Source organism: Homo sapiens, chromosome 7 (assembly GCF_000001405.40).
Source record: "Homo sapiens chromosome 7, GRCh38.p14 Primary Assembly".
NCBI classification, from domain to species: Eukaryota; Metazoa; Chordata; class Mammalia; order Primates; family Hominidae; genus Homo; species Homo sapiens.
The window spans coordinates 72,954,794-72,982,532 of NC_000007.14; the positions used below are offsets into that span (position 1 = coordinate 72,954,794).

A 27,739-nucleotide genomic window follows, 5' to 3' on the forward strand; every position below is an offset into this window, starting at 1 on the left:
CATGCCCTTCCGGGACCGGAAGTGCCGGTCGAAGTCCCCCTGCAGGGTGTGTGTGTGATCGCGCACCTGCCGGGCTAGGGAGTGCGACGCTGCGGGCGCACCTGCTGGGGTAGGGAATGCGACGCTGCGAGCCCGTTTCGCCACTTCTTCTCCAGTTCTTCAGTCTTTGTCAATCTGATGGATAAATAATGGGATTTTACTGCTGTTTAACCGCAGTTATTGCGTTGAATATGTTCACATGTGTATTGGTCATTTCATATATATATGTGTGTGTGTATTATGTGTGTATGTGTGTATATATATATATATATATATATATTTTTTTTTTTTTCAGACAAAAAGACTCACTCTGTCGCGCAGTGTCGCGATCTTGGCTCACTGCAACCTCCGCCTCCCAGGTTCAAGCAATTCTCCTGCCTCACCCTCTGGAGTAGCTAGGACTACAGGCCCGTGCCACCACGCCCGGCTAATTTTTGTATTTTTAGTAGAGACGGGGTTTCACCATGTTGGCCAGGCTGGCCTCGAACTCCTGACCTTAGGTGATCTGCCCACCTCGGCCTCCCAAAGTTTTGGGATTACAGGCGTGAGCCCCCACGCTGGCCATAATTATGTGTCTCTGTTTATTGTCTTATCTTCCTCTGCCATGTGTCCTCCAATGGCTGTGTTCTCAGGGAGGATTTTTCTGTGTAATGGCAGAAAAGGTCCTAGCAACTCCAGGTCCACAATGTGGTTCATGATACCTGCCACTCACCCTGCACCAGTAACCACATTAGTCCCAGAGCCAAGCAAGAAAGCACACGGGGTATTTGGGTACCTGAAATGGGCCGGTTTGGCCAAATTAAATGATGTAGTTATGATCCAGGCCTCAAAGCCACAATAACGGTTTTGTTTTTGCTTTTGATGAGGTCCCACTCCGTCACCCAGGCTGGAGTGCAGTGGCACCGTCATAGCTCACTGCAGCCTCGAACTCCAGGGCTCAAGTGATCCTCCCACTTCACCCTCCAAGTAGCTGGGACTACAGACGTGCACCACCACACCCAGCTAATTTTATCTTTTGTAGAAATGCGGTCTCACCATGTTGCCCATGGATGGTCTCGAACTCCTGGCCTAAAGTGATCTTCCCACCTCGGCTTCCCAAAGCAGTGATTACAGGCATGAACCACTGTGCCCAGCGAGGATTTTGTTCTTTCATCTTGAGATAAATGGTAGTCCTCTTAAGGGTTTTAAGTCATGGAGTGCTGTGTTCATGTATACTTCTTTAAAGATCAGTCTGGCCAGGTGCGGTGGCTCACACCTGTAATCCTAGCACTTTGGGAGGCCAAGGCAGGTGGATCACTTGAGGTCAGGAGTTTGAGACCAGCCTGGCCAACATGACAAAACCCGTCTCTACTAAAAATACAAAGATTAGCCAGGCATTGTGGCAGACACCTGTAATCTCAGCTACTTGGGAGGCTGAGGCAGAATCGTTTGAACCTGGGAGGCGGAGGTTGCAGTAAGCTGAGATTGTGCCACCGCACTCCAGCCTGGGGGATAGAGCAAGCTTCTTTCCCCAAAAAATAAATAAATAAATAAATAATCAGTCTGGTTACAGTGTGGGGATATAGGATGGAGGGGACAGAGTTGAGGCAGGGAGAGACCAATGGGGGTCATGGCAGTCACCTAAACAAGAACTGGTGGCCTGGACTGAGTTGGTGGCAGTGGAGTTCGGTTGAAGTTGGCAGTGTGACCGCTAAGTTAAATCCACAGAACTTGCTCAGGAAAAAGGACAGGTCGAGAATAACTCATAGGTTTTCAGTTTGGGCAGTTGACACAATGCTGCTGTGTCTTTTGGTAGGATGGGGAAACCTGGGGTGGTGGAGTGAACAACGGCCACCCAGAGAGAGCAGGTCCTAATTCCTAGAGCCTGGAAATGTCACCTTCTATGGAAGAGATCTGTAGGAGTGATCAGGGGAAGGATTTGGAGAGAAGGTTATCCTGGATTATCTGGGCAGGTCCTGCATGGCATCACAAGTATCCCTATAAGAGAGAGGCAGAGGAAGGCCTCTCTTATAGGGAGAAGCGCAGTGGGTCACACCTGTAATCCCAGCACTTTGGGAGACTGAGGCTGGTGGATCCCTTGAGCCCAGGAGTTCACAACCAGCCTAGCCAACATGGTGAAACCACGTCTCTACTAAAAATACAAAAATTTGCTGAGTGCACGCCTGTAATCCCAGCTACTCAGGGGGCTAAGTTAAGGGAATTGCTTGAACCTGGGAAGTGGCGGTTGCAGTGAGCCGAGATCACACCACTGCACTCCAGCCTGGGCAACAGAGTGAGACTCTGTCTCAAAAAACAAAAAATAAGAGAGAAGCAGAGGAAGATTAGACCGGCACATACAGAAAAGGCCACGTGAAGATGGAGGCAGAGATTGGAATGATGCGGTCACAGGCCAGGAAACACCAGGGCATGGCAGCCACCACCTGAAGCTGAAGAGGAAAGGGGCAGGTTTTCCCCGACAGTCTCCAGAGGGAGCGCGGCCTTGCCATCATCGTGATCTTGGACATCTGGCCTTCAGAACCATGAGAGATTAAATTTGTTTGAAGCCACCAAGTTTGTGGTCATTTGTTACAGTAGCCACAGGACACCACAGCCACAGGATAAATCTCAGGGATGGGGGAGTAGGAAGATCATGAGCGCGGTTTTGGACATGCCCTTGACGTCCAGGCGGAGCTGCTGAATGGCTGGAGCGCTACTGGATGTGGCCTGTAAGGGACGGGTCTCCCGGAGAGGGAACTTCTGAGTCATCCCTGTGGAAGTGATGACTGGAGCTATGGGTGTGGAGGGGTAGACAGCCAGAAGAGGAGCCTGGAGGCCCTCAGACCATAAGTGGTGAGGACGAGAGGCTGAATCCTCAAAGGAGACCGAGGAGAGGCAGGAGGAGAGGCAGGGCTGTGGGGAGGCTGAGGGTTGCTGTTCACCCCTGCTAGGCTCCCTCATGCCCTCTCACTGGTCTGTGCACCCAGTTTGACTTCCAGTGGCCCGAGCCAGCATCTTGGTTAGAAGGCTACCCCGGAGCTTCCAGGACCCACTTAGCCTATGAGTATCGTGAATCAAAGGGTTATGGGAGGCTAAGCACAGTGGCTCACACCTATAATCCCAACACTTTGGGAGGCCAAGGTGGGAGGATTGCTTGAGGCCCAGACCAGCCTGGGTAACATAGCAAGATCCCATCTCTACTAAAAATTTAAATATTAGCTGGGTATGGTAGCAGACACTTGTCGTCCCAGCTACTCAGGAGGCTGAGGCAGGAGGATCACTTGAGCCTGGGAGGTCAAGGCTGCAGTGAGCTACAGTTGCACCACTGCGCTCCAGCCTGGGTGACAGAGCAAGATCCTGTCTCTAAAAATAAAGACTCAAGGCTGGGCACGGTGGCTCACGCCTGTAATCCCAGCACTTTGGGAGGCCGAGGCAGGCGAATCATTTGAGGTCAGGAGTTCGAGACCAGCATGGTCAACATGGCAAAACCCCATCTATATTAAAAATAAAAAAATTAGCTGAGCATGGGGTGCACACCTGTAATCCCAGCTACTCGGGAGGCTGAGGCAGGAGATCACTTGAACCTGAGAGGTGTAGGTTGCAGTGAGCTGAGATCGTGCCACTGCACTCCAGCCTGGGTGACAGAGCGAGACTCCATCTCAAAAAAAAAAAAAAAAAAAGCAGACTTGAGCATAAAGTGCTGGGATTATAGGCATGAGCCACCATGCCCGGACTTTTTTTTTTCTTGTTTTCTTTTCTTTTTTTTTTGAGATGGAGTCTTGCTCTGTCACCCAGGCTGGAGTGCAGTGGAGCAATCTCAGCTCACTGCAACCTCCACCTCCCAGGTTCAAGAGATTCTTGTGCCTCAGCCTCCCGAGTAGCTGGGATTACAGGTATGTGCCACCACACCCAGCTAATTTTTGTATTTTTCATAGAGACAGGGTTTCACCATGTTGGCCAGGCTGGTCTTGATCTCCTGACCTCAAGTCATCCTTCTGCCTTGGCCTTCCAAAGTGCTGGGATTACAGGTGTAAGCTGCTGTGCCCAGGCTCTGTGCCTTCATTTAAACCCATGTCTCCTGACCAAATTGTCTCTAAGACTAAAAGAAATGTGAGAAACAAGGAGTCTCCCATAAACAGGGAGTGAGGAAGGCTTGGGAACTGCACGTGTTCGTTTGTTGGGTCTAGAACATGGATCCGCTCTCTTCCCACAATCTGCAGAGCAAGTTTCAGGCAGGGCTGATACTGCCTGCTGCGCAAGGGTGAGGACGGTAAGCAAGGGATGCCTGGTGCTCCTGGATGTTGCTTCTGGCCATTTCCCACCTCTCCCAGCTCCCACTCCTCCTGATATCCTGCCTTACATCCAGCCACCCTGAACTTCTCATAACCAGAGTCCGCACGCCACTCCCCCTTTTACAGGACTGTTCCCTCGGCTTGCCTGGCAAACTCGGGTCCTGGGCCCTTCTCAGCCATCAGGCGTGTGCCCCTCTGCCAGGCCTCCCAGACACCTGCTCCTCCTCTAGTGTTTTGTTTTCTGAGACAGGGTCTCGCTCTGTCACCCAGGCTGGATCATGCAGTAGCATGATCATGACTCACTGCAGCATCAAACTTTGGGCTCAAGCAATCCTCCCACCTCAGCCTTATGAGTAGCAGGGACTATAGGCGCATGCCACCATGCCCAACTAATTTTTTTATTTTTGTATTTTTTGTAGAGACGGGGGTGTTACTACATTGGCCAGGCTGGTCTCGAACTCCCGGCCTCCAGCAATACTCCTGCCTTGGCCTCCCAAAGTACTGGGATTGCAGGCATGAGCTACCCTCCTCTAGTATTTCTGTAGCTTGAGTGAACTTCTGCTGTTCTAGGTACCCACAGTTCACCATCTGCCTCCCCACCTGTCTGCGAGACCCTTGAAGGCAGGGACGTGACTTTCCTCTATCTTCCCCAGGCTCAGTTATAGAGCCAGCTATAGGCAGCTGCTTGGGAGGCGCTGGTTAAGCTGAATGGAGGAACCAGTGGAGCTGAGATGCCCGTGCCCGCAGCCACCAGACCCTGGCTGAGCTCTCTCCAAGGTTATTACCTGGAGGCCATGGAGTGGAACTTCTGGAAGGCAAGAGAGAGGGAGGTTAAGGCTAGAAGGTGGGAAGCCAGGGCACTGTTGGGAAGGGGAAGGCCCTGGCGGGTATGGGGATGGGACGCCTCCCTGTCCACTCACCCAGATGAACTCATGGTGGTCCTCATTTCCGAACTGTTCCAGCACACACTCGGCTTGGGCCAGCCGCTCCCGGGTTCCCTGGGCCTGCTCCAGCTGCATGTCCAGGGAGGCCACCAGGCCACGGGTGTGACCCCCTATCCCCTCCAGGCAGCGGGCCTTCTCCTCGTCCACCGGGTGGCGCAGCTCCTGGAACTCGCGGCGGATCACCCAGCTGAAGACATCCGACTCATTCTGGGACAGGGAGGGCTGCTCACTGCAGAGTCACAGCCGAGCTGCCAGGCTCTGTCTGGCTGGCCTCGGTGTCCCCAGGGCCTTCCTGACCGGGTTGGTCCTGGGACCTGAGTCTCAGGGGAGGCTGCATGGCCTGGCGCCGGGCAGGGAGTTCACCCCATGCATGGGGAGCCCTGGCGGTGGCCGTGGGGAGGGTGGCCCCAGCTCCCATTTCAAATGGAGAGGCTCTGCTTTGGCCTGTTTTAATTTTTAATTTTTTTTTTAACAGACAGGGTCTCACTCTGTTGCCCAGGCTGGAGCGCAGTGGCACGATCATAGCTCACTGTAGCCTTGACCTCCCAGCCTCAAGCAATCCTCCCGCCTCAGCCTCCCGAGTTGCTGGGATTACAGATGCACGCCACCACACCCCACTTTGCCTATTTCAGCTATTAAATGTGCATATCCCAGAGTTCCACAACTGAAGGAAAGCAGGAAGGCCCTGGGCGAGCGGGCTTTGCTGTGAGGGAGCCAGAACTCCCTGCAGAACCCTGAGCTCCGCCTCCACCAGGCAGGGCTGATACCGCCTGCCGCGCAAGGGTGAGGAGGGTAAATGAGGGAGGCCAAGTGCTTCTGGATCTTGCTCGGCTCCTGTTTCTGTTTCACAGCCACCTCCAGGGCCGGGGCACTATGCGTCCCAGCCCCATGTGCCTCTCAGTTCAGGAGATCAGCCAGGGCCCAGGGCTGCCAGCCTCTCCACGCCTGCGCACCCAGGTACTGGGAGGGCACCATGACAGGCTGGCAAGGTCAAGCAGACACAGGTGGCACAGGGGCGGAGGAGTCACGCCCATGCTTTCAGCTGTTTACCCCCGAGACTCAAGTCCTGGGTTATCTCAGTCTCAAGGACACAGAGGGCAAAAGCCAACTTGGAGCCAGTCCTAACGACAACTGGGTTGAATTCCCCTGAGAGGATTTGCGCTTTCCCCACCCCGCCCCGGAATGCTTTGAGTTCTGGCTTTATATGGAAGGCATGGTTTTCTGTAAAGGACCAATGAGAACTGAGCTCTACAGGAAAGTGAAGGTGGCCGGTCCCAGGCAGGGGCAGAGGGAAGGGGCACTCACGACGATTCGGGTCCGGTTTTTCACCAGTTTGGCGATGAGCTCATCCACCTTCTTCTGCTCCTGCTTCAGCTCAGAGAAGAGGGCTGCGAGCTCCTCCTGGAGGCAACAGGCCATGGCCCCATGAGCAGCTGATCCCTCCCCTTCTCAGCTCCTTGGATCACCTTCTTGGGAGTATCCCAATGGCCACAAGCACTCCCAGGGAAACCAGGGCGGGAACCAGAGCCACCCAGGTACCCTTGAGTCCAAAACAGGTTAAATTGTTCAAGAATAGTCTGGGCGCAGTAGCTCACGCCTGTAATTCCAGCACTTTGGGAGACTGAGGTGGGACTTCACTTGAGGTCAGGAGTTTGAGACTAGCCTGGCCAACATGGTGAAACCCCATTTCTATTGAAAATACAAAAATTAGCCAGGTGTGGTGGCACACACCTGTAGTCCCAGCTACTTGGGAGGCTGAGGCACGAGAATCGCTTGAACCTGGGAGATTGATGTTGCAGTGAGCTGAGATCATGCCATTGCACTCCAGCCTGGGTGTCACAGTGAGACTCTGTCTCAAAAAATAAAAATAAAAAATAAGATAATTCAAGAATATTCTAAGGGCCGGGCGCGGTGGCTCACGCCTGTAATCCCAGCACTTTGGGAGGCCGAGGCTGGCTGATCACGAGGTCAGGAGATCGAGACCATCCTGGCTAACACAGTGAAACCCTGTCTCTACTAAAAATACAAAAAAAATTAGCCGGGCATGGTGGCGGGCACCTGTAGTCCCAGCTACTCCGGAGGCTGAGTCAGGAGAATGGCATGAACTTGGGAGGAGGAGGTTGCAGTGAGCCGAGATTGCGCCACAGCACTCCAGCCTGGGCAACAGAGCAAGACTCCATCTCAAGAAAAAAAAAAAAGAATATTCTAGGCTGGGCACAGTGGCTCATGCCTGTAATCCCAGCACTTTAGGAGGCCAAGATGGGAGGATCACTTGAGGCTAGGAATTTGAGACCAGACTGGGCAACACAGTGAAATCCCATCTCTAATGTTTTTTTTTTCTTCAAAGAATATTCTGGGCCGGGCGCGGTGGCTCACGCCTGTAATCCCAACACTCTGGGAGGCTGAGGCGGGCGGATCACGAGGTCAGGAGATCGAAACCATCCTGGCTAACACAGTGAAACCCTGTCTCTACTAAAAATACAAAAAATTAGCCGGGCGTGGTAGCGGGCGCCTGTAGTCCCAGCTACTCGGGAGGCTGAGGCAGGAGAATGGCGTGAACCTGGGAGGCGGAGCTTGCAGTGAGCCGAGATCGCCCACTGCACTCCAGCCTGGGCGACAGAGCGAGACTCCGTCTCAAAAAAAAAAAAAAAAAAAGAGAATATTCTGCATTGACAGCAGGAACTTCCCAGGCATAAGAGGGTCTCGATGTCACCCCTGTGCATGACATGGAGACAGTCACTAAATGTTACAGCTACCAGAAGTCACCATGTGATGCTGGCACTTCCTGGATTGAATGCTGCCTGTAGGGGACCCATCAGGTGAACTCTGTGGTCACCAGCAGATCCAGAATTAGTGGGTATTTAATCAGGAGCCATCACAAAAAGGCCGGCGCCAGGTGAGGCTAATTCTAGGGCCAGTGGTGCTCACACGGGCCTGGGTTTAACCTGGTGAATCCCCACACCTATAAACACCTGAATCCATTCCTGGTGGGCTTGGACACAGCACGGATTTGCGACCTCCCCAAGCTGACATAAATGCACTTCTCCTGGACTGCCCGGGCCCCAAATCTGACCTAGCCTTGGGGGTGCCAACCAGGACTCCTGGACCACCATCTACTCCATGACTTGACCAGAGCCCCCGTCGGTTTATACCCATGCAATGTACAGAATTTTTGGCTTGGATCGTGCCCAAGCACCAGAGAGCTGCAAGGGGCTTTCAGGAAGGGAGTTGGGTAAAGAATCAAGCACTTGCTGGCATAAACGGACAGAGTCCTTGCTCTGGAGAATGAGGCATCAGAACATCTCACAGAGGCCTAAGAACAGCATTCCAATGTCACCCTCCCCAGGCAGACAGACGGGACTCATTCCTTCCCCGTGAGAAGAACTAAGTTATGCAAATCAATGCACCCATCAATCGAGCATCTCAAGATCTCAATAAACAGGAGGCAACGGGAACACCTTAAAGAGGGCAATAAAGGAGTGCAATTTAGTTGTATTCTGTGTTGCAACAGAGAAGAGCCTCGGGATCATCAAAACCCAAATCTGGCCGGGAACAGTGGCTCATGCCTGGAATCCCAGCACTTTGGGAGGCCGAGACGGGAGGATCACTTGAGGCCAGGAGTTTGAGTCCAGCCTGGACAAAATAGTGAGACCCTGTCTCTACCAAAAAAAAAAAAATTAAGCCCAAATCTAAAACAGGGACCCAAGCTGAGCTGCTGGATCCTAACTACAAAGGACAGACAATCTCCCAGCCTGTTCCCTCCCTCCTTCCCATCAACTAATAAAACATAAACTCGGCTTCCTCACCTGCAGTTGGCTTCCACCTTCCATACTCCCCTAAACCTGCTCTTGCCAAGATAATCAGTTCTTACTGCTACATTTAACACTTTTCAGTCCTCAGAGACATTTCACACACGTGATCTCCTCCTTCAGTCTGTCTCTCTGATTTCCGGGAGGCCACACTCAGCCGGTGTTCCTGCTCTGAGGATTCTTTCTATTCCTTTTTCAGGGCTCTCTCTCTCTCAATCCAGATTTTAAGCCTGGTACCCCTTGGGGTCATCATCAGTGTCTTCCCTTATCACTATGTAGACTCTCCTGGGTTGGTCTTCTCCACCAAAGGGGACTTCAGTGACCACCAAGAGGAAGGACCCTCCACACCTCTTGCCCTGAGCCCCACCGCTGTCCTGGTCTGCACACCCCTCAACCCGACTGCACATCCCCAGGCACCTCCCGCTCCACCTGCCCACGCCGGATCCTCCCCTGCGATCACTTCCTCTGTGCAAGGGGGAATTACAGAGCTGGAGTCAACCTCCCCATCCCTCACCCTCCTTGCCACACACAGTTGTCAGGGTTTTTTTCTGTTTGAAATTTGTCTTTGGTCTGCCCCAGGCCTTTGTCCCAGTTCCCACCAACTTAGGTCCTGGCACCTTCATCTCTCACTGTCCTTTTGCCTCACCCTCAAAGCTCCCCTCTGCCAGAGAGATCTGAGCATGTCATCACTGGCTTAAAACACTCCAGCCCCCGCCTTTCTCCCTCATCCTGTGAATAAACTCCAAATCCATTCCCGGGTCACACTGGCCTCTCCATGCCCCAGCCGCAGCTTACCTCGCTGGCCCTATCTCGCCCCCACCCATGCTCCCTCCAGCTTTATGCTGGGATTACAGGAGTGGCCACTGCGCCTGGCCAACCAGGCTAATTTTGAAACTTTTGTAGAGGCAGGGTCTCACTATGTTGCCCAGGCTGGTCTCAAACTCCTGGACTCAAGTGATCCACCCACCTCGGCCTCCCAAAGTGCTGTTATTATAGGCATAAGCCACCCAGTCACGTGTTTTATAACAGGTGTTTTATATATATAACACCCAGTCAGGTATTATTATTACTCATCTTAAAGAATGATCTGCTAGGTTTGGTGATGGCCTATAAAGGCAGGAATTCACTGATTCAGCATTTTGGACATTTACAATGTGCCAGGCATGGCTCCAGGCACTGAAATACACCAGGGGACAAAATGAAGTCCCCACTCTCATGCACCAGAGAGTGCAAACAGGGGAGTGTCCAGACACAAACAAGGGGCGTAGGGCAGTGGTGCATGCCTATAATTCCAGCACTTTGGGAGGCCCAGGCAGGAAGATCGTTGGAGGCCAAGGAATTCAACACCAGCCTGGGCAACATAACCAGACCCCATTTCTACAAAATATAAAAAATGAGCTGGGCATGGTGGTGTGCACCTGTAGTCCCAGCTGCTCGGGAGGCTGAGGTGGGTGGATTGCTTGAGCCTAGGAGTTGGAGGCTGCAGTGAGCCATGATCACACCACTGCACTCCAGCCTGGGCAACAGAGTGAGACGCTGTCTCCAAAAAGAAAGAAGAAAAAGAAAGGGGGGGCGGGCGAGGGAGGGGGAGAGAGAGAGAGAGGAAGGGAAGGGGGCGGGAGAGAGAGAAAGAAAAAAAGAAAAAGAAACAAACCAGAACTGCAAACAAAAAACAGGAAGGGGTGAGCACGTGACACCAGGGAGCTCCCATCCTGTGCGTGTAGCTTCAATCCCCAGCACCTGGGTTTAGCTGCCGCTCAAACACTAAGGAATGAATGCGCCAGGGCAGGGCTGCAGGGAAATCGAGGATAGCTGGATCCGTTTTGGTGCCAGTTGATAGCGCCAGAGAGCACAGGATCCAGTCCCCGCGGGCCCCGCCGCCCCGCCTGCACCCTCACTCCCCACCTTCATGCGGCTGCAGACGGTGGAGACGGGCGTGACCGGGTGGTGTTGGTGGGAGCCCAGCAGACCGCAGAGGCCACAGATGAGCTCCTGGTCCTTCTCGCAGAAAAGGCTGAGCGGGTTCCGGTGGTGCACGCAGACCTTGGGCTCCGGGTCCCCAGGGAGCCTCAGGGCTTCGATCACCCAGGCCAGGGAGACGTTGGGCAAGGAGCTGCTGCCGTCCACCACCTGCCAGCACATGGGGCAGCGCACCTTGGTGTCCAGGTGGTAGGACAGGGAAACCAGGCAGCCCTTGCAGTAGGAGTGGCCGCACTGTAGCATTAGGGACTCCTTGAAGACCTCCAGGCAGATGGGACACTGAAGCCAGTCCTCCAGCTCCAGCAGGCTCACCTGCCAAGCCATCCACACTCACTGCCCGGGCTGAAACACAGGCATCCGACCTCAGTCCTGTCCACTCCCCTCCCCCTGTCCAGCACTCACCCACCACCCTCAACCCTAAGGAGCACCAGAATTTTATAAGAAACACTTTGAGTCCTGGATCCCAGTCCTAACCCACATGACCTTGGGCCTCAGTTTCCACAGCTGTAAAACAAAAGACTGCAGTGAAAAAACTGGTCCCTTGAAGATACGTGTGTGTGTGTGTGTGTGTGTGTGTGTGTGTGTGTCTACATTTTTTACTCAAATTTGGAGACAAGCATGAAAGGGGCCATCTGCAGGGTCATTTGCAGTGACACTAATAATGCAAGGTCCAGCCCCAGCATGCATCCGGACCTAGAACTGAACAGCAAAACCTAGGCAAGCTCCCCACCTTCTAGATCAGTTCCCAAACTTTCAGGAAACTGTTGAAAGCATAGGTGTAATAGAGATTCTAGAGGCCCACCTTCAAAGGATCTGCTTCAGGGGGTCTCCAGTGAGACCCAGAACTCTACACTTATAGGTGACACTCCCAGGTAATTCTAGAGAGCCTGGAACCTACAAGGCCTCTACCCTGATCTCCCACCTGCTCCCCTATGAAAGCTTGTCAGTGAGACAGAAGAAGCACCAGAAGCCCCCAGCGAGAGCCCGACATTGGAATACCTAGCTTCTCAGGATCCACTGGGCCTCCCACTATGGCCTCAAGCCAGCATCACTGGCTTTTCTTCTTCCCAGCAGGGAACAGCAGGCACAGAGTCAGAAGTGGGAAGTGCAGCTGGACGCCTGCACCACTGCCTGGTCTCTGCCCCTTCTCTCCTCCCCTTCCCCAGCAACACCCCTGTGTCCCCAAGGTCACCAGAATCAGGTGGAAACTGGGTTACATCACAGGACTGGGGAGGCAGCCTTTGTTGGGCCTGCTCTGATAACATTCAAGTGCTGGCCTTGGCCACTGTGGAGGAGGGGCAGAAACAGAGGGACTAGGCACACTGTCCACACCTCACGACCCCGACAGGAGCAGACAGGTGCTGGGAAACAGTTCTTTCTGAATCTCAATCTCTTGCTCTTATATCCTTTTTTGGGGGGGGTGGGGGGCTGGGGGGCAGGGGAAGACAGTGTCTTGCTCTGTTGCCCAGGCTGGAGTGCAGTGGCGTGGTCACAGCTCACTGCAGCCTCCAACTCCTAGGCTCAAGCCATCCTCCTACCTTAGCTGCCTGAGTAGCTGGGACTACAGGCACGTGCCACCATGCCAAGCTAATTTTTAAAATTTTTTTTGTAGATACCGGGTCTTGCTTTGTTGCCCAGGCTGGTCTTCAACTTCTGGGCTCAAGCAATCCTCCCACCTTGGCCTCCCAAAGTGCTGGGATTACAGGCATGAGCCTTATTGCACGCAGTCTTCCTTCTCTCTCTCTTTTTTTCTAATACAAACTGGCAGATGATGGTTCGATCTCTCGAATTTTTTTTTTTATTTTATTGTTTTATTTACTTTAGTAGAGACAGGGGTCTCACTTTGTTGCCTGGGCTGGTTTTGAACTCCTGGCCTCAAGCAATCCTCCTACCTCAGCCTCCCAAAGTGCTGGGATTACAGGTGTGAGCCGCCGAACCTGGCCTCTTTTTTTTTTTTTTTTTAAAGATTTGAAGGTATCTTTATTTACTTATTTAGATTTTTTAAATCGAGGTATAACATATACAAGTGTGCAAATCTTAACCACACAGCTTGATAAACACTTGATGTATATACGTGCACTCTCAAGAGCAAGATGTACAGTGTTTCCAGAAAGCTCCCTCCTGCCTCCTTCCAGTCATAACTCCTAACAAGGACAGCCACTGTCCTTATTACCATGTTGTCATGTGGCCTGTTTTTGAATGTCACATAAACAGCATCATATAGAATGTACCCTTTTGTGTCTGGTTTCTTTCACTCAATAATATTAAATTGTGAGTTTTTTTTTAATGTGAAGTCTTTCAACGTTTAGAAATTCAATGACACTCTGTTATACAGGTTTTGTTTGTTTGTTTGTTTATTGAGACAGAGTTTTGCTCTTGTTGCCCAGGCTGGAGTGCAGTGGTGCAATCAGGCTCACTGCCACCTCCACCTCCCGGATTCAAGTGATTCTCCTGCCTCAGCCTCCCAAGTAGCTGAGGTTACAGGCGCCTGCCACCACACCGGCTAATTTTTTGTATTTTTAGTAGAGAGGCGGTTTCATCATGTGGGCCAGGCTGGTCTCAAACTCCTGACCTCGAGTGATCTACCCACTCTGGTCTCCCAAAGTGCTGGGATTACAGGTGTGAGCCACCGCGCCCAGCCTGTTACACAGTTAATGAATATTATGGTCATAATATACTGCTGTGGTTTGAATGTATCCTCCTAATTTCATGTGTTGGAAACGTAACCCCCAATGGGGCAGTATTGAAAGTTGGCTGTAGCCTACGCCTATAATCCCAGCACTTTGGGAGGTCAAGACTGGAGGATCGCTTGAAGCCAGGAGTTCAAGACCAGCCTAGGCAACAAAGCTACAAACCATCTTACCAGCAAATTAAAAACTAAAAAATAAATTAGCTGGGCCTGGTGGTGCACGTCTGTAATCCCAGCTACTTGGGAGGCCGAGGCAGGAGGATCTCTTGAGCCCAGGAGGTGGCGGCTGCAGTGAGCTGAGATCCATCACTGAACTCCAGCCTGGGCTCAGAGCGAGCCTCTGTCAATCGATCAATCAATCAATCAATCAGTGTCTTGTCTGGGCCTAAATTCTCTAGAATACAATGGAAGAGGGAAAGTGAAAGAAGGTGGAAGTAACCCACAGCTGGGAGCCCTGAACCCTGCTGGTGGCAGGTGGCTCTCGTGTCCTCACCAGGTTGCCCTGCAATCACATGCTGCATCCTTTTTCCTGAACCTGCCCCACGTGCCCCACCACGCAGCCACTCCGAGGGCTCCTTCAAGGGCGGCAGCCCTGTCACTCACGTGTTCCAAAAGTGCTTCCCCTGTGCCCTGACGGCCTCGCCATGTGTCCCATCATGCCCCACGCGCTCCCACTGTGCGCCCCACCTCGCACCCGTGCCCCATCATGCTCTGCGTGCTCGTTAGGTGCCCCATCATTTCCCGCTCGCTCTCATTACGTACCCAGCCTCCGGCCCCTGTAAGTGCCCCATCGTGCTCTCTGTCGCTCCAGTTAGATGCCCCATCCTGCCCCGCGAGCTCCAATTACGTGCCCCACCTAACCCCCCATGTCCGTGCCCCATCATGCCCCGCACGCTCTGGTTACATGCCCCGCCTGGCGCTCCCGCACATGCCCCATCATGCTCAGCGCGCTCCCATTACGTGCCGCCACCTCGCGCCCCTGCAAGTGCCCAATGTGCCCTGTGTGGTCCCGTTACGTGTCCCATCATGTTTTGTGCGCTCCGATTACGGGCCACACCTGGCAACTCACCGTGCGACCTCTGTAGTTCCAGAGCTCGCGAGGGCCAGGGCCGTTGGCGGCGGTTGGAACGAAACGATGAGTGCCTCCTCGTGGCCCCAGAATGGAATGCCGCCGTCGGTAGGGGTCTGCCGGGCATAAAGGGGCCTTCGGAACCCCACCAGAGTCACAGCCAGGAAGGGCAGCGGGGCGCACCAGGCCGAAGGCTCACGCCACAGGGAGGGCAGCTAGGACATGGGGGGAAGCGCGTTAAACCAGGGAGTCCTGGAAGGGGACGACGCCCCCGGCCAGGTGAGGGCCCAGACGTGGGGGCGTAGACGCTGAGGGGTGGCCGGGTGGGTCTGCGGCTCTGAGGCCTGGCTTTCATTCTCCATCAGTCCCTGTACGAGCGGTTAAGTCAGAGGATGCTGGACATCTCGGGGGACCGGGGCGTGCTGAAGGACGTCATCCGAGAAGGAGCTGGAGACCTAGTGGCGCCTGATGCTTCGGTGCTAGGTACGCCCTGGGGCGGTTTGTCCGCAGGATCCATGTCATCGCACTCTGTTGGGAAGAGAGAGGCCTCATTTTCAAAAAGCATTTAATGGGGTTGGAAATGCTTTGTTTGAAGTGGATTTTTGTTTTTGAAACGGGGTCTCGCTCAGTTCCCCAGGCTGGAGTGCAGTGGTGCGAACATAGCTCACTGCAGCCTCTGCTTCCTGGGCTCAAGTGATTCTCCAGCCTCAGCCTCCCAAATAAGAGATTTACAGGCGCAATCCACCATGCCCGGCTAATTTTTAATATTTTTGTAGAGATGGGGCACTTTCTATGTTGCCCAGGCTGGTCTCAGACTCCTGGTCCCAAGTGATCCTCCCACCTCAGCCTCCCCAGTAGCTGGGATTACAAGCGTGAGCCGCTGCTTCTGCCATGAATTAGTTTTTTTAAGAGGAAAGCTAAGGACCCCTATGTCCCCTTTGCGTGATGCTTCCATGAAGCTCTTGAACCTCTGAGCCGAAGGGCAGGCTCCTAAAATGCAGAGAGATTTATTCCTGTACCTCGTGGTGTCGGGCAGCTTAAGCTCATCTGATCGCATTGTTTCTGTGTGATCATGAGAGACTCGATATTATGGAGGCGTGGGTGTTTTGGGTCCATTTTCCTTACATTCTTTCCTCTATTCTAGTGAAATAGTATGGATACCTGGAACACTTGGACAGACCCTTCGATTCTAATTACTTTAGGAAAACTCCTCGGCTAATGAAACTTGGAGAGGGTAAATTCAGAGTAGGAGCTGGAGAAGAAGGGATTGTTTAGGAGCGAGATGAGGCACCATGCCTCAGGCTGGGAAGACTGCTCAGAGCGCAGGTTCTTTGAATTGACTTTGCTGAGGCTGGGTTTTGGTAAAACAGCCATGTTCTCTCCCCTTGAGACCTAGGCATTTGGGAGATGGCTTAATGGGCAAGGTATAATCTTTGCACTCTGACTTAACTCACCACTGGGAATGTTTCTTTGTTCATTTATTAAGTAAAAATCGACGAATGCTTACTTCCCACAATACATGGTGAAAAGAGAGGTTGTACTCAGAAGATTAGAACATCTCCACCCTTAAGGACCTCACAATGTAGTAGAGGAGACTGACCTGCACTCAGCTCACTTGGTAGAATCGGATGAGTGCCTGGGAGGTGAAAGCAGTGTTGTGGGTGTGCTTAATGAAGGCATGATTAATTCTAGCTGGGAAGTTCAGGGAAGGCTTCCTGGAAGAGGGGGCATTTGAACTGAGCCCAGAAGTTTGAATAAAATTTCTATCACTAGAAGCTGGGCACAGGCTCAGGAGGAAGACATTGCAGGAAGAGGGAACTGTGTGAGGGAGACATGGAGGCCAGAGTACTGCTGACTTAGAGGGGGAAGAAACTGATAGCATTAAGCAGGATACTGAGCAAGCTTCACCCACCTTCTTTGTCCCTTCTTACAGATATTACATTGTGGGGCATGGAGCTGGGCCTTCTGAGCATGCAGAGAGGAGAGCTGGCCAGGTTTCTGTTCAAACCGAACTACGCCTATGGAACGCTGGGCTCCCCTCCCTTGATCCCCCCAAACACCACTGTCCTGTTCAAGATTGAGCTGCTTGACTTCCTAGACTGTGCTGAGTCAGACAAGTTTTGTGCTCTCTCAGCTGTACGTTGCAGAGCACAAATGTCAGCACTTTATAGAGAGACAAATGGGTTGGTGTTTTTGGTAATTCTTCTAGATGGCCTGCCCTGAGGCTGATCGTCCGCCACTGCACTCCAGCATGGGCAACAGAGCAAGACTCCATCTCAAAAAAAAAAAAAAAGCCAGCTGGGATTTTTTTTTTGAGACATGACCTTGCACTGTTGCCCAGGCCGGAGAGCAGTGATGTGATCATAGCCCACTGCAGCCTCAAACTCCTGGGCTCAAGCGATCCTCCTTCCTCAGCCTCCTGGGTAGCTGGGACTACAGGCTGGCACCACAACGCCTGGCTAATTTCTATATTTTTTGTAGAGATCATGTTGCCAGGCTGGTCTCAAATTTCTCGGCTCAAGCAATCCTCCCACCTTGGCTCTTGAAGTGCCAGGATTACAGAAGTGAGCCGCCACACCCAGCCACAGCTGGGATTTTGATAGGGATTGTGTTGAATCTGTAGATCACTTCTGAAGTAATGAAATTTTAATAATATTAAGTCTTTTAATCCATGAACATGATTTCCTTCCATTTATTTAGGTCTTCTTTAGTTTCTTTCAATGATGTTTATAGTTTCTTTTTCTTTTGGAGATGGAGTCTTGCTCTGTCACCCAGGCTGGAGTGCAGTGGCATGATCTCGGCTCACTGTAACCTCTGCCTCTCGGGTTCAAGTGATCCTTGTGCCTCAGCCTCCCGAGTAGCTGGGATTACAGGTGCACTGTACCCGGCTAATATTTGTATTTTTAGTAGAGAAGGGGTTTCACCATATTGACCAGGCTGGTCTCGAACTCCTGACCACAGATGATCCGCCCACCTCGGCCTCCCAAAGCGCTTGGTTTACAGGCGTGAGCCACTGCGCCCAGCCTTATCTTTTCTTCCACACAGATGCTTCGTCTTGGGTAAACTCCTCGACTCCCAAGGCCCCAGCCTCCATCTTTACCTCAGAGCCTCCTGAACCTCCTCCTCCAGCCTCACCTTCCTCCAGCCTCACCACTCCTCCCTGGACCTGCAGCTCCGCACCCCCGGGGGCCTCAGAACTACCCCTTCCAGGGCCTCAGAACTACCCCTACGGTTTCTCCTGCGTAACCTTCTGCCTACCTTCCTGAGAGTGGTTGGTGACAGCAGCCGGGGCTAGAAACCTCGAGGCGACTGTGCTTGAGTCCTCTCTTGCTCTTTACATCCCAAATCCCATCAATTGTCACGCCTTGTGCCTTCCGCCTCTCAAATATTCAGAAAGCAGATGTATGCTGGGCACGGTGGTGACTCAAGCCTATAATCCCAGCACTTCGGAAGGCGGAGGCAGGAGGATCGCTTGAGGCCAGGAATTTTAGACCAGCCGGGGCAACATAGTGAAACCCCATCTCTACAAAATAAAAATAAAAATTAGCTGGGCGTGGTGGCGTGTGCCTGTAGTTTCAGCTACTGGAGAGGCTGAAGCGGGAGGATCACTTGAGCCCGGAGTTCAAGGCTGCAGTGGGCTATAGTCGTGCCACTTCACTCCAGTCTGGGCAACAGAGCAAGATCCTGTTTAAAAAAAAAAAAAAAGCAGATCTAAAGAGGGGCCTGGCGTGGTGGCTCACGCCTGTAATTCCAGCACTTTGGGAGGACAAGGCGGGCAAATCACCTGAGGTCAGGAGTTCAAGACCAACCTGGCCAACATGGTGAAACCCCATCTCTACTAAAAAATACAAAAATTAGCCAGGCGTGGTGGTGGATTCCTGTAACCCCAGCTACTCGGGAGGCTGAGGCAGGGAGAATCGCTTGAACCCAGGAGGCAGAGGTTGCAGTGAGCCAAGATCGTGCCACTGCATTCCAGCCTGGGCAACAGATTTGAGACTCCGTCTCAAAAAATAATAATAATTGGCCAGGCGCAGTGGCTCATGCCTGTAATCCCAGCACTTTGGGAGGCCAAGGCGGGCAGATCACCTGAGGTCAGGAGTTGGAGAGCAGCCTGACCAACATGGAGAAACCCCGTCTCTATTAAAAATACAAAATTAGCCAGGCGTGGTGGCACATGCCTGTAATCCAAGTTACTCGGGAGGCTGAGGCAGGACAATCGCTTGAACCTGGGAGGCAGAGGTTGCGGTGAGCCGAGATTGTGCCATTGCACTCCAGCCTGAGCAACAAGAACAAAACTCCGTCTCAAATAATAATAATAATTTAAAAATTTTAAAAATAGGTATAGAGCAGGCTCGTGCCTCCAGCACCCAATTCTGCACACTGGGTAACAAGATGGGTGGCAGCCACCCAGCCCTAAGCATCGGGAGCTCAGGTGTCAACACCTGAGGCAGGTGCAGGACCAGGGCAGGAGAAGGGGCTTCTACAGAAAGCGCCTAGGGGAGGTGGCACACACTGAGCTGGTCTGAATCAGCAGAGGAGAGAAGGAAGCATTTGAGTCACACTGCACGGTGAAGATGCCCAAGTGCAGAGGTCAGGAACAGTCAGTCCTCGGGGGAAGAGGGAGAGCAGGGGAGTGAAGGTGAGAGTGGGGGGTGGAGTCAGATGAGGGGCTCAAGTTCATTCTCATCCCCCACTGCCTGCGTGACGTGGGGTACAGTACTTCCTACTGAAGCCTCGGTTTCCTTATCCGAAACCTGGGGTGTGGTGGGGTCACCTCCATTCATGCTTGTGAAAGTCCTTTGTAAATGAAATGTACAGGACAAGCTTAAGGGGGGCCCAAGGAGGGGAACGCATCTTACACCTTGCAAAGGCCACCAATACCAAGCCCAAGTGCCCAGGCTTTATTTTTCAGATGGGGTGACCTTCACTGCATGAAGGTATTCGGTGGGACTTCTTTTTTTTTTTTTTTTTTTTAGACAGGGTCTTGCTCTGTCACCCAGGCTGGAGTACAGTGGTGCCATCATAGGTCACTGCAGCCTCCACTTCCTGGGCTCAAGCAATCCTCCCACCTCAGCCTCCCCAGTAGCTGGGACCACAGGCACGCACCACCACACCTAGCTAGTTTTTTTTCTTTTCGTAAAGACAGCGTCTTGATAGGTTGCCCAGGCTGCTCTGGGACTCTTGGCCTCAAGCAATCTTCCTACCTCCACCTCCCCAGTTGTTGCGCCATGGTGCCTAGCCAAGATGAGACTCTCATTCAAACAGTCAAAAACCCGACTTAAAGTAGCTCAGACACGCATAGAATGGATTGGCTGCTGTTGTGGACTCTCCGAGGGTGGCTCCATCTGCAGGCACTGTTGGAACCAGTACCCAAGGATGATGTCCCAGCATCTGTCTCTCCGGGATCTCACCTTTGTACCCTGCCCTCACTGGCTGCGTCTCATTTCTGCTTCCCTCTGTGTGGCTTCCTGTTGGTGGCAGGGTGAGGCCCCCAGGACAGCAGGCAGCCTCAGCCTCACCCTTTCCCAGTACTGAGACCCAGAATCTCACTGCGGACTCCTTGAGACAATCCCAGGGAAGGCTTTGATTGGCTTAGCTTGAGGCATCACTGCTCATCCCTGGACCATTCAGAACCTCGGTGGTGCTCCCTGATTGACCACCTGGTTTAGTGCCGCTTCTGTGCTGGAGGTAGGAGCCATGTGAGGAAGTCCTGGAATTGGGCAAGCACGGTCTTGGGAGGCCAGGCTGGGACCTCCTTCCCTAGGGAGTCCTGGGGATTCTGAACAGAGTGATGAATCCTCTGTGAGGGGCAGGGAGCCACAGATGGAGAGGGATGATGGGGGTGGATCTGGGCTGTGCCCGGAGAGGGGACCCTGCCAGGAGTGAGTGTCTTATGGAGGCAGAACGGGCTCCTGCAGTTCCCAAGGTGCCCTTAGGCCCCAACAAGCCCCTGTCCCCAGCCTTACACAGAGTCCTGAGACTTCGGGGAAATGACTTCACTGTGCCCGTTTCACCGGTGAGGTTCAACGACTTTCCCAACATGATGGGAGTCAGAGGCCCCAGGTCGCAAATCACTAGAGCACCCAGCCGCCACTCAGTCCAGGGGGACTTCCACGGGAAACCAGCACTGGGTGTCCAGGGCCAGTGGCAGAACCATGGGCCCTTCCTTCATCGAACCAATACGTTTGGGTGGGGGCGAGCTCCTCTCGCCCTAGTTGGTGGCGGGGCTGCAGGAGAGGCACAGACCTTGCAGGGGGTGGGGGAATTGGGGCCAACAGGGGCCGCGAGGAAGGCCCAGGGGTATTGCCTGTGGGAGTCCAGCGGAACCTGGGCAGGCTTCCCAGAGGAGGCGGCCTCCGAGCCCCTGGGCACCCGTGATCCGCCAGGGCCTGGAAGAAAACGGACGGAGCAGGAGCAGAGGGAGGGGAGACGGGCAGTGGTGCGGCCCCCACCCGGGGGCTCGGGGCGCACAGGGGTCCCCGCCGCCCACCCGGCCGCCCCGCGATTCCTGCACGTCAGCAGAGCGGAAACGCGGAGCAGCGCCAGCCGGGGCGGGCTGGATGGGGCCTGGCAGCGCGGCCGGCGCTCCGCGGGTTCGGTTCCGCCCGCGTTTGTGTTGGCAGCGGCCCGCGGCTCGCGGCCGGGCGCATGAAAGGGGCCTCTGTCTGCGCCCCAGCCGCCCCGCTTGCCTTTCACTCTTAATATAATCTTCATTTTTAACCCAGCGGAGGTTCTCTTGGAATTTTTCCCCTTCTTCCAAAAATACATGTGCGTGCGTGTGTGTTTGCAAAAGGCCTTGACGGTGAAGGTCGGGATTGTCCCCGGGAAGGGAAGGGAAGGGCGAAACCTGAGGCGGGGAGGGAGACAGAAATATCTTTCTTTCTTCCTGTGCCCAGGCCTCCTCGGGGTCGCCACCGCTGCTAAGGGTCCCCCATCCTGCGCCCCCCCGGGGACTGGGGGTGCAGGACAGGATGGGGGGGTCCTCCTCCGACCACCCCCACACCCCCAACCCCGGGATGAATGAATGGGCTTTTTGGAAATTGGGGTCAGCAGGGAGGGGTGGGCGCCTCCTCCAGGGGTCCCTCCCCGGAGCTGGTCAGAGAATGGTGTCACCAGGTGTGGCCAGCGGGGGCTGTCCTCCCAGAGCGGGTAGGAAGGGAGACAGGACATCAGTCCTGCTAGGAAAGACCCTACTCTTTTTTATTTTTATTTTTTTTCTCTGAGACAGGGTCTTGGTCTGTCACCCACGCTGGAGTGCAGTGGTGCAATCATAGCTCACTGCAGCCTCTACCTCCTAGGCTCAGATGATCCTCCTGCCTCAGCCTCCCAAGTAACTAGGACTCCAGGCAGTGCCACCATGCCCAGCTAATTTTTTTTTTTTTTTTTTTTTTTTAGAGATGGGGTCTCACTATGTTGCCCAGGCTGGTCTTGAACTCCCAGCCTTAAGCAATCCTCCTGCCTTGGCCTCCCAAATTGCTGGGATTACAGGCATGAGCCACTGTGCCCAGCCCTAGACCCTACTCTGTGTTGATGCTTGCTTGCAGGCTTAAATAGCCTGCGACAGTGTCCAGAAACTGTCACCAGTCAGCCCTTTGTTCACTTGCTGGGCAGAGGAGCGTTACACCTGAGGGAATTTTCCAGATTATGCCCACAGTGGCTGTTTGGAGAGTTCTCACTTCAAACATCTCAGGGCTCATCACAGAGCTTTCCATGCATGTTCCCAGGCAAGTCTCTTGTGGTCAGGGAAGTCAAGTAAGATTATCCCCGCAGAAGGGAAAAAGAAGGCTCAGAGAAAACAACTAACTTGTCCCCAAGTTGTGGAGCATGAGGGAGCTAGGGTGGGAATGAAAAAGCGGGTGATGGGAAGCCCAGGTTCTCCCTGCTGGATGCCTGGTTTTCAAACTGTTTTCTGCAGAGCTTCTGTTCATATTGGGGGTCTTGGAAATGTATGATTCTAATTATTTAAATATATATATTTAGGCCAGACACAGTGGCTCATGCTGGTAATCCCAGCACTTTGGGAGGTCCAGGTGGGAGGACTGCTCGAGCCCAGGAGTTTGAGACCAGCCTGGCAACATAGTGAGACCCCATCTACAAAAGTAACCTTCTGCCGAGTGCAGTGGCTCACACCTGTAATGCCAGCACTTTGGGAGACTCAGGCAGCCAGATCACCTGAGGTCAGGAGTTTGAGACCAGCCTGGCCAACATGGTGAAACCCCATCTCTACTAAAAATACAAAAATTAGCCTGGCGTGGTGGCACACCTGTAATCACAACTACTCAGGAGTGTGAGGCAGGAGAATCGCTTGAACCTGGGAAGAGGAGGTTGCAGTAGCTGAGATCGGCACAGCAGTCTGGGTAACAGAGTGAGACTTGGTCTCAGAAAAAAAAAAAAAAAAGACTTATTAAAAAAAAAAAAAATAGCTGGGCATGGCCATGGTGGCACATGCTTGTAGTCCCAGCTACTCGGGAGACTGAGGCAAGAGGATCCCTTGAGCCCAGAAATTGGAGGAGGCAGTGAGCTATGATTGTGCCACTGCACTCCATCCTGGGTGACAAAGCAAGACTCCATCTCAAAAAAATATATCTAATTTGTGTGTATATTTGGACTTCTGGTGTGAGCAATATAGTAGTAAATTTGATAGCCTGAAAACCATCCTACTCTAAACGTCTTGGTTACAAAACACCAACCACATCCTGTTTTTTGTTTTAATTCCAGAGTCGGGGTCTTGGTCTGTTACCCAGGCTGGTCTCCAACCTTTTTTTTTTTTTTTTGAGACGAAGTCTCGCTCTGTCGCCCAGGCTGGAATGCAGTGGCGCGAACTCGGCTCACTGCAAGCTCTGCCTCCCGGGTTCACGCCATTCTCCTGCCTCAGCCTCCCGAGTAGCTGGGATTACAGGCGCCTGCCACCACGCCCGGCTAATTTTTGTATTTTTAGTAGAGATGGGGTTTCACCATGTTGGCCAGGCTGGTCTCGAACTCCTGACCTCAGGTGATCGCCCACCTCCGCCTCCCAAAGTGCTAGGATTACAGGCGTGAGCCACCGCACCCGGCCTGTTATTGTTTGTTGACACAGAGTCTTGCTCTGTTGCCCAGGCTGGAGTGCAGTGGAGCCATCTCAGCTCACTGCAGCCTCCGTCTCCCCAGCTCGTGATCCTCCCACCTCAGCCTCCTGAGTAGCTGGGACTACAGCCTCCACCACCACACCCAGCTTATTTATTTATTTATTTATTTATTTATTTATTTAGTATTTTTAGTAGAGATGGGGTTTCACCATGTTAGCCAGGCTGGTCTCAAACTCCTGACTTCAGGTAATCCACCCACCTCAGGCTCCTAAAGTGCTGGGATTACAGGCATGAGCCACCTCACCCAGCAGTCAGGTGGTTGGTAACTGTCTCTCTTAAAATAATAATTGGTTGCAACCAACACCAGGGAAAGGCCGTTTCCCAATAGATAGAAAGCACCTGGAACTGGTGATCAGCAGCTTCCCGATAAGATCTCAGGAGCTGGGCGAGTGGGCTCAAGCATGTGCACTAAGAGGCAACATGGTGGAGTTTAACTGGCATATGACCTGGGAGCATTTGACTGGTAAAGGAAGAATGCCTCAAGTGAGCATGCGCACTTCAGTAAACACGCTGCGCATGAGGCCCCTCCGGAGCGCTGGCAGGCCACTGCGCATGCGGACAGACCACCCCAAGGGAAGAACCAGGGGAAAGTTAACGCAAGCCCCGGAAGGATGCCAACCTATCAAACCCCAAGTCCAAGATCAAACAGTGCACTTGACTCTCTCAAGTCACCTGCTTGACCCTCTTCCAAGTGTACTTTACCTCCTTTCCTTACTGCCCTAAAACTTTTTCTTTGTTTGGTTGGTTTTGTTTTTGTTTTGAGATGGAGTCTTGCTCTGTTGCCCAGGTTGGAGTGCAGTGTTGTGATCTCGGCTGACTGCAACCTCCACCTCCCGGGTTCAAGCAATTCTCCCACCTCAGCCTCCCCAGTAGCTGGGATTATAGGCATGTGCCACTATGTCTGGCTAATTTTTGTATTTTTAGTAGAGACAGGGTTTGGCCATGTTGGCCAGGCTGGTCTCAAACTCCTGACCTCAACTGATCCAACCACCTCGGCCTCCCAAAGTGCTGGGATTACAGGCGTGAGCTACCGTGCCCAGCACCTGCCCCAAAACATTTTAATAAACTTTCACTCCTGCTCTAAAACTTGCCTCGGTCCCTCACTCTGCCTCATGCCCCTTGGTGGAATTCTTTCTTCTGAGGAGGCAAGGACTGAGGTGAATCCATATGGATTCACCACCACTAACACTTCCCCCATATATCTCCCCACTGCTGGGCCCTGCTCACCTCAGTCCCCAAGGCCTCAGTGTGAGTGAGTTTATCAGATGCATTCACGAGTGGCAGGTGTCTGGGAGCCGATTCTGATGAGGGAAGAGAAAGAGAGGGGCTTTGAATTTGAGGTTCACACTTTCTTCAAGGAACAGGTTTAGCTGGACATAATGGTATACCTGTAATCCCAGTACTTTGGGAGGCCGAGGCAGGAGGATCACTTGAGGCCAGGAGTTTGAGACCAGCCTGGGCAACATAGAGAGACCCCCATCTCTACCAAAAAAAAAAAGAAAAATAAGCCAGGCACAGTGGTGTGTTCCTGTAGTCCCAGCTACTCTGGAGGCTGAGGCGGGAGGATCACTTGAGCCCAGGAGTTTGAGGCTGCAGTGAGCTATGATAGCACCACGGCACTCCAGCCTGGGCCACAGGGTGAGACCCTGGCTCTAAAATAAATAAATAAATAAATAAATAGATAAATAAATAAATAAAGTATCCCATGTGGGTTGATGTGGGTGAAATTCAGGCCAGGCTGGACAGACAAGGGCGATTTTCAGGGCAGGCAGCCACTGTCAAACATCACCCTCTCCTCTGAGGATCCCTGGTCCCTCCTCCATGAAGTGGGGGGCACAAGCAGCTGGAAACAGGTCCCCACCACTGCTCTGCCCCGGAAGGAAGGCTGGGCTGCTTCCCTTTGAGCTCCCCGGGCACTCAGTTCCTTTGCTCAATTCAATGCAGCATCCAGTCCAGAGAAGTGGGTCTTCCAATTTGGCTGAAAGGCCGGGAAAGGTCCCTCATAGACACTCGAAGCTTCCAGGGGCCTCAGGGTTCATCTGATTGTACCCGTCAGCCACTGCCCCAGTGAGGCTGCCTAACACACCACCCCAAAACCCAGAAGCTTAAAACAAGCATTTATCACTGGGCGAATTGGCTCATGCCTGTACTTTGGGAGGCCGAGCCGGGTGGATCACTTGAGGTCAGCAGTTTGAGACCAGCCTGGCCAACGTGGTGAAACCTCATCTCTACTAAAAATACAAAAATTACCTGGTCGTGGTGGTTCGCACCTGTAGTCCCAGCTACTTGGGAGGCTGAAGCAGGAGAATAGCTTGAACCTGGGAGGTGGAGGTTGCAATGAGCTGAGATTGTGCCACACTGCACTCCAGCCTGGGCGATAGAGCGAGACTTAGTCTCAAACAAAAAGACCAAGCATTTATCTCTCGCTCAAGCTTCCAGGCTTGCTCCCAGCCACGGCTGGGTCCAGGACTGTGCCACATGCCTCTCATTCTCCCCAGGGCCAGAGGGCTAAGGAGGGGCTGGGGAGTGTGCTTCCCCTGGCTAAAGGCAGGAGCCCCGGAGGACCAGCACCAAGCACAAGCCCACTGCAAATCTCTGCTCACCTTGTCAGTTACATTCTATTGGCCAAAGCGATTCACCTGGCCAAGCCTAACAGGAATGGGTGGGGAGGTACATTCCTCCTAGAGAGGGGAGTTTGTGGGAAAGGAGTGGTTACTGCTGAGCAATAATCTAGTCTTCTAATAATCGAACTAACTGATTTTTCCTTTTTTCTTTCTTTTTGTGTTTTGTTTTGTTTTGTTTTTTGAGACAGTTTCACTCTTGTTGCGCAGGCTGGAGTGCAATGCTGCAGTCTCGGCTCACTGCAAGCTCCACCTCCCAGGTTCACGCCATTCTCCTGCCTCAGCCTCCAGAGTAGCTGGGATTACAGGTGCCCATCACCACGCCCGGCTAATTTTTTGTATTTTTAGTAGAGACGGGGTTTCACTGTGCTGGCCAGGCTGGTCTCCAACTCCTGGCCTCAGGTGATCTGCCCGCCTCAGCCTCCCAAAGTGCTGGGATTACAGACATGAGCCACTGCACCCAGCTGAACTAACTGATTTTTCAATTGCTCCCTGCACAATGGCAGAAATTCCTGGAGATTCTCTGAAAGGGGAGGGAGAAGGGGCAGGGAGGGCTTGATGTCTCCATTGAGAGCCAGAGCGCTTTTGGTTTTAAGGTGGGGAGTGAGTTGGGTGCAATGGCTTACGCCTGTAATCCCAGCACTTTGGGAGGCCAAAGCAGGTGGATCACTTGAGGTCAGGAGTTCGAGACCAGCCTGGCCAACATGGCAAAACCCCATCTCTACTAAAAATAAATAAATAAATAAGAAAATTAGCCAGGTGTGGTGGCGGGGACCTGTAATCCCAGCTACTCAGGAGGCTACGGCAGGAGAATCGCTTGAACCCAGGAGGCAGAGGTTGCAGTGAGCCAAGATCGCACCACTGTACTCCAGCCTGGGCAACAGAGCGAGACTCAGTCTCAAAAAAAAAAAAAAAAAAGTGGGGAGCGAAGGGAAGACGCCTAATGATTCATGATTCATGATGTTTCATGATGACTCTTTTGCACTTCGAAGCCATGCCCTTCGCCTTGTCAGCCTGGAGAAGACTGCGATTTGCTACAGAGGGAACACAAAGAAAAAGAGACAATTGTGGATTTCTGACATTCAAATGTACAATTTCGCCTCCTTGATAAAGAATGGACTTAACACCAATACCTCCCACTTTCTTTCTTTTCCTTTTTAAATTCTTTCATAAAGACAGGGTCTCGCTATGTTGC

General features: G+C 52.8%; 1 protein-coding gene, 1 long non-coding RNA gene and 1 pseudogene across 13 annotated transcripts, besides 1 other annotated feature; 2 read left to right on the top strand and 1 right to left on the bottom strand.

Moving 5' to 3' along the window:
• Positions 1–3: 3 nt before the first annotated feature.
• LOC124901671 (uncharacterized) lies at positions 4–2,585 on the top strand. Its single transcript, XR_007060381.1, has 2 exons — positions 4–109; positions 335–2,585. It is a non-coding gene; the product is annotated as an uncharacterized LOC124901671 (long non-coding RNA).
• TRIM74 (tripartite motif containing 74) lies at positions 75–14,888 on the bottom strand. 11 transcript variants are annotated; one of them, XM_011516190.3, is made up of 7 exons: positions 14,799–14,837; positions 11,353–11,382; positions 10,966–11,190; positions 6,557–6,652; positions 5,228–5,458; positions 5,093–5,115; positions 75–174 (listed from the first exon to the last, which is right to left on the bottom strand). In XM_011516190.3, exons 2-7 carry the CDS (start codon positions 11,362–11,364, stop codon positions 75–77), a joined length of 687 nt encoding a protein of 228 aa, XP_011514492.1. In that variant the 5' UTR covers positions 11,365–11,382; positions 14,799–14,837. The 11 variants fall into 11 exon arrangements, with proteins under 11 accessions (XP_011514492.1, XP_047276308.1, XP_047276309.1 ...); XM_047420352.1 differs by lacking the exon at positions 14,799–14,837 and adding an exon at positions 14,492–14,673; XM_047420353.1 differs by lacking the exon at positions 14,799–14,837 and adding an exon at positions 12,040–12,160.
• Positions 6,177–6,729: an enhancer, noted in NCBI's record as "H3K4me1 hESC enhancer chr7:72431501-72432053 (GRCh37/hg19 assembly coordinates)". NCBI's record gives its function as "activates a minimal SCP1, AML or CMV promoter by ChIP-STARR-seq in naive H9 embryonic stem cells {active_cell/tissue: H9 hESC(naive)}" and the evidence as "EXISTENCE:reporter gene assay evidence [ECO:0000049][PMID:30033119]".
• Positions 14,889–18,350, top strand: FKBP6P1 (FKBP6 pseudogene 1; annotated as a pseudogene). The gene is made up of 4 exons (NR_104007.1): positions 14,889–15,077; positions 15,164–15,281; positions 16,732–16,792; positions 17,844–18,350. The product of NR_104007.1 is annotated as an FKBP6 pseudogene 1 (transcript).
• Positions 18,351–27,739: the final 9,389 nt, after the last annotated feature.